Below are 6,777 nucleotides of genomic sequence, written 5' to 3'. Positions count from 1 at the left end.
TGAAACAGCAACCCTGGAGTGTTTTGGTCTTAGAGCCCCTTCATATTTTTAAAATTACTGAGAAGCCCAAAGAACTTTGTTTTTATGTATTACCTATACACCTATATTTGCCATATTAGAAATTATAACTGAGAAAATTTAAAAACATTATTAATTTAAAATAGTAATAAACCAAAATATGTTAATAAAACGATATGTTTATAAAGATAATTTTCTAAGACAAAATACTAGTGCAAGAATGGCACTGTTTTATGTTTTTACAAATTCCTTTAATATCTGTCTTTATAAAAGACAGCTGTATCCTTATATCTGCTTTTGTATTCAATCTGCTGCAATATCTTATTCTTTGGAGTCTCTGGAATTGCGTGAGAGAAGAGAGAGAAAGGTGAATAATGTCTTAGTATTACTATAAAAATAGTTTTGACTTCATACAACTCACTAAAATTTCTCAGGGATTTCAGGGAGCTTGGTCACACTTTAAGAATCGCTAGTGTTAAAAGTCATGAATGTGCCCATGTTTTCAAGCATTAGAATCTATTTTTAAAAATTCTTATAACATTTTAAAAACATATTTAAACATTAGAATACTAAACAACAAACATTGTAACAAATATCAAGAGTTTGCTATAATTCCTTCAGAAGTACATAGCAAAATGGTGCTATGAATTATGTAATGTTTTAAGAAATGAATTTTATTCATCATAATATGATTTCTGTACCATTGAAAAACTACATATGAAAAAGATATTAATATTTGTTTCTTAGGCAATGTGCCAAGCAGAGAAGTATTTGTGGACACTATGCACTAATTTTATAGTTTCCTAGGATTCCATGGTCTCTGTGTTAGAAGCAATAAAATTATCTCTAACATATATTTCAGAACATACCCCCATACACACACACACACACACACACACACACACACACACACACATACATATACAGAGATGGATTATTATGTCTATATATAGAGAAACATATGTATATATAATGGATTATTTTATATATATATAAAATCCCTGATATTAATTTTAATCCTTAAAAGCTAAAACTGTGTATAAAACTATACAGATTATATATATAGCTATAGATATATATATCTTTCTATCCTGTTTATAATATTATATATAATATATAGAGCTTTTATAGTTTTATATCCAGCTATATATATAAGCTAAAACTGTATATAAAAGATATATATTTTAGATAGATGATAGATAGATAGATAGATAGATAGATAGATAGATAGATAGATAATCCCTGATATTAATTTTAATCCTGAAAATCTAAAACTGCCTCTGGCATTATGAGGCAAATTAAAAGGGGTATAAATCATCTGGAAGAGCATTATAAGGTAGTATCACCAATTCACAGTTTTTGAATTCATAAACTAAGTGATCTTTCCAACATTGGTGGCCTCATTTCATATCTCAACAGAGAATTTACCAAAAAGCTAAAAAAAATATACTAAAGTGCATCATTAATATAGGAAATTAATGAAAGAGGATAGAAAGATAATTATAGCAATACTGTAGTTTATGCCCCAACATAGAAAAATAGATTAGTGGAGACTTTCTTGTCCGATAAAGTTGAATCTCTTTTTATCAATTTGTAAATACCATTAAGACTAAATACCATAAGACTCTCCTTGTCATTATCGTTACCAGATTTTGGACCCAAATCTTTCCTTTGTCATTAGCAAATACAAATTCTAAACATATTTTCCAGTTTTACATTTACTACAAAAGAAGGAATAAAAAAGACACATAATAATGTCTATAGAATTACAACAAAATATGCCCCAGCCTTATGATTTCAGGTATGTAGATACAGCTACAGACAAATTTTATTACACAAAAGCAAGAGCCTCCTATGTGTACCACAATTGGTTAGGTGCTTGCTATGCTTCGAATATTTGTGTTCCTTACGAAATTTATATTGAAAGTTAATCCCCAACACAATGTTATTAACAGTGGGGCCTTTCAGAGGTAATTAGGTGGAGGCTTCATAGATGAGATTAGTACCTTATAAAAGGGCTAGAGGGAACTAGCAAGGCTCTTTTTACCCTTCTCTTCTTTTGGCCATGTGAAGACACAGGGTTCAACACCTTAAAGGATGTAGCAATAAGGCACCATCTGGAAGCTGACAGCAGCTCTCACAGACACTGGATCTGCTGGCACCTTGTTCTTCTGCTTCCCAACATCCAGAACTGTGAGAATAAAATTTCCGTTTATTATAAATTACCCAGTCGCAGATGGGCATAGCTGGAACTAGTCTGCTAAAACAGCACAAAAAGACTAAGACGGTGTTACTGGAAATATAAAATGGCATGTAAGTTTTCCCTGCATTCAAGGAATTTAAAGTACAGTTAAGGAGATAGGATAAACATAAACAATAATTAAAGATCATTTATAACTTACATAAGATTAATTACAATGCAATATAATTTATTCTGTATAATACTAAATAATTTATTGTTTATAAGATAACTTATAATAATACAAGGACCATTTATAAGAATATAAATTAGTACATAAATAAAACCCAAATAAATCATTCAGCAATTACAAAAGAAATCAGAGCAAAGAGGGTGATCACAGTACCAAATGGTGAGAAAGACTTCAAGGAAGTGCTGGAGGGCTCTTCTGCTGTTGCTCAGTGCATGAGTACTATCTGGGTAGTGAGAGAAGATGAGAAAGGCATTTTCTGTAAATGGAACACCTGTGATGAATGAGGAGCGCCTTCACACAAGTCACTTCTCTTAAGAGAGAAGTGTTCACCACAGGTGTTCCATTTACAGAAGGCAAATGCATTTGGTGCTGGACTGTAAGTGTTCAAAAGCAAATTGTGTTAATGCAACTATATTGCCAGATACTTGCAGGTGCCAGATCTCTTCAGTCAGAAGGCAGAGGTGATCCACGGCTGTTTTCTGCAAGGTCCATACTGCTAAGTGTACATACAAATCTACATCTTCCTTCAGTTTTTTTACTTGGGAAGTTCAGAAACAGCTCATTCCTTCATTCAACAAGTAGTGAAAGAGCACTAATATGCCTGTAAAATGATGTGGATAGAACAATAAGCCAAATAGATCGAATCCCAAGTCTCAGTGTTAGGTCTGGTAAAGGAATTGGACATTACATGGACAAATAAGTAAATAAACTGTAAATTGTATTATATGTTCCAGGAAAAGAACAGTGCACTGTGAGAGACAATAATAAGATGAAAGGCATCTAGTCAATGTTTTATTAAACTTCATTTTAAAAAATTAGCCATTCAGGAAAGTTGCAAGAACATTACAATAAATACTCATATACCATTCACCTATATTTCCACATTGTTAATATTTTGTCACTGTATTAGTCCATTTTCATACCACTATGAAGAAATACCTGAGACTGGGTAATTTATAAAGAAAAATAGGCTTAGTGGGTTTACAATTCTACATGGCAGGGGAGGAATCACAATCATGGCAGAAGGTGAAGGAGGAGCAAAGGCACGTCTTACATGGTGGCAAGGTCTTACATGGAGACCACTTCAGCCTGGACTTTGTTGTTCATATCACTATCAGCATGTGGGTCAAAGCCATTCAACAAGTCTCTAGGAAGTTCCAAACTTTCCCACATTTTCTTATCTTCTTCTGAGCACCCACCCAAACTGTTTCAGTCTCTAATTGTTACCCAGTTACAAAGTCACTTCCACATTTTTGCATGTCTTTACAGCAGCACCCCACTCTCTGCGTATCAATTTACTGTATTCATTCATTTTCATACTCTGTGAAGAAATACTTGAGACTGGGTAGTTTATAAAGAAAAAGAGGTTTAATGGACTCACAGTTCCACATGGCTGGGGAGGCCTCACAATCATGGCAGAAGATGAAGGGGGAGCAAAGGCACATCTTACATGGTGGCAGAAAAGAGAGCATATGCAGGGGAACCACCCTTTATAAAACCATCATATCCTGTGAGACTTACTCACTCTCACAAGAACAAAATGGGAAAATCATGCCCTCATAATTCAATTTCCTCCCACCGAGTCCCTCTCATGACACTTGAAGATTATGGGAGCTACAATTCAAGATGAGATTTGGGTGAGGACATAGCCAAACCATATCAGTCACATTGTTGTCGCTTCTACTCCTCTTCTCAGTAGCAAGAGGACTCCTACTGAGTCCTCTCCTCTCCTCTCCTCTCTCCTTCTCTTCCCTCTCTTTTCCTGTTCTCCCCACTCTTCTCCTCTCCTGTTCTCTCTCTGTGTGTGTATATATATATAAAATATACACATATATGTTTAAATATCTTTAAACATATATTAAACTTAAATACTATGATAGTTATTTGATACTAATTTAATTGTGCCCCTCCTCATAACCCCCAATGTGATGGTATTTAGACATGGGGCCTCTAGAAGGTAATTAGATTTTGATAAAGTCATGCAGGTGGGGCTTTCATGGTGATATTAGTATCTTTATTAAAAAGAGAAACACCAAAGCTCTGCCTCTACCATATGAGGACATAGTGAGCATGTGGCTCTCTGCACTCCAAGAAGAAAGCCTTCACCAGAGCCTGACTATGCTAGCATCCTGCCCTCAGATTTCTAGCCTCCAGATCTAAATTTCTATTTCTTCAGCCACCTAGCCTATGGTATTTGTTATGGCCGCCTGAGCAGACTAATGTATTATTTTTATTCGTGTTTATGAAACACTGAGAGTAGGTTTTTAAACCATTGAAAGTAAGAGATCATAATCCTTCATCATTACATACTTCAGCATGTATCCCCTAAGAAAAAAAGGCGTTCTCTTAATCACACTATAATTTCAAATTTCAGGAATTTTACCTTTGATATAATATTATGATCTAGCAAAGAGTTCATATGATAACTGTTTCAATAATGTCCTTTATAGAATTTTTTTTCTTTAGGATCATGCATTGAATTTAGTTGTACAGTGTCTTTAGTATCCTTTAATCTTGAACTATTCCTTAGACTTTCGTTGTCTTTTGTGCCATTGACATTTTTGAAGAGATTGTCTTCAACCTGGGTTTGTTTTGTAATGGTTAGATTTGAATTAGGTATTTTAAAATAAATATTACATAAGTAATACTGTGTCCTCAGTGTGTCAAATCATGAATCATATAATAGTTTTTCTCATTTTTCGATGATATTAACTTTGATCACTTGGTTAAATGGATACTGCCCAGATTTTGTTTAACTGCAGTAATTTTTTTCCTGTGTAATTATTAACTGTTCTGTGCAGACAATCTGTGAGACTATGTAAATATTTTACTGCTAACCAACTCTCATCAAATGGTTTTGGCTTCCACTGATGATTATTACCTAAATTAATTATTAGTACAATGATTTTAGAATGGTACTTTTCTAACTATACCACCCCTTCTACATTTATTTGTTTACATTCTTGGAAAGAGGAGTGCTCTCCTTATTTATTTTGGAGCTCAAATTGTAGGATTACTTTAAATAGAGCAGAAGAAGCTTATGTAAGAAGATGATAATTCCGCTGTGAACTGAAGGATGAAAATAATCCAGGAAAGGGCATCCTGGCATATAAAGCTGAGAGTGTGAACATTCTCTTAGGTCCAAAATTTTGCAACAGAGCTCTAATTGAACCATCTGTAAATTAAACACTTCAGAAAGAAGCCGTAGACACCAAAAAGCTTTCTTTAAATAGCTGATCAATTGAAAGCAAATTAATTTTTCTGTGTTCACAATCTGCATTCCTTTTTTCCAGGACAGTCCCAAGTTATATCTATTTTCCTGGCCTCATAATTAATAGAAGACCCTTTTCAGTCCACAAAGTGTCAGTTTGAGTGATAAATACCATGATTACCCTCAATTATAAACTCTAATAAATAAACAAATTATAAGTCAGCCCAGGGAAGAGAAGACTTGGTTGTACCTTTAAGACATGAGTCCATACAAAACCGCATTTGACTAAATGTATTTCTTTTTCAGATTCTGAAAATTGAATAATTCTCTTCCTCCTTTAGCTGCTCATTGCATTATTTGCTAACTGCAACAATAAAGAAGTGTGCATTAACCCAACTGTTATTTTTATTGTTACATATTATATCAATCTTATCTTGGTGAATAAATATGGCCACTGTACTATATACAAGATTCATTTATGTGTGTGACTTCTCTACTAACTACAAATATGGTCATGGTTATTTTGTAGCAAAAGAAAACAAACAAACACACAAACTCTACGTTGTAAAAAAGATGAGAGAATTAGTCTGAAATCATTTACTATAAAAAATAGCCTATGAGACATGGTAAAATGTTTCTCTTTAGAACGGAGTTCTCTGAGTTTTATCTGGACATAATGTAAAAATACTAGACAGCTATACGAGTTGCTTTACAGTGCATTCTAACTGCCATGGAACAATTGTGATTTAATCTTTTATTACTGATTTACATTAATGGTCAGTATAAGGAATGGCTATATAAACATGGTTGTATGAATGATTTTCTACATATGTAATAATACGATTAAACATACTTTATATGATGACATCTCTCTTAGACATCAGACTCAGCACATCATGTAGACATCAGAATCAGCAAAAATGTTGGCCTTTGTAGTGAGTTGGCATGCTTCCTTTTAATATCTAATGAGATTATTATGATTTTATGTCACTTCTCTTTTAATTTGACTACCACAAAATTCAGAGGATTTTGTGTATTTTTTTTTAAGTTCTGAAAATTGAATAATTCTCTTCCCCTGTTAATTGCTCTTTGCTTTTCAAGGCCAGTGTTTTTTAG

The 6,777-nt window shown here is 33.4% G+C and overlaps 1 long non-coding RNA gene across 1 annotated transcript in view; it reads right to left on the bottom strand.

Moving 5' to 3' along the window:
* Positions 1-6,777, bottom strand: part of LOC107986841 (uncharacterized) — a 66,127-nt gene that overhangs the window by 16,960 nt on the left and 42,390 nt on the right. The gene's annotated exons all lie outside the window — the stretch shown is intronic.

Source organism: Homo sapiens, chromosome 7 (assembly GCF_000001405.40).
Source record: "Homo sapiens chromosome 7, GRCh38.p14 Primary Assembly".
NCBI classification, from domain to species: Eukaryota; Metazoa; Chordata; class Mammalia; order Primates; family Hominidae; genus Homo; species Homo sapiens.
Note: the sequence above shows the minus strand (reverse complement) of the source record. Positions and strands in the feature narration are given on the sequence as shown.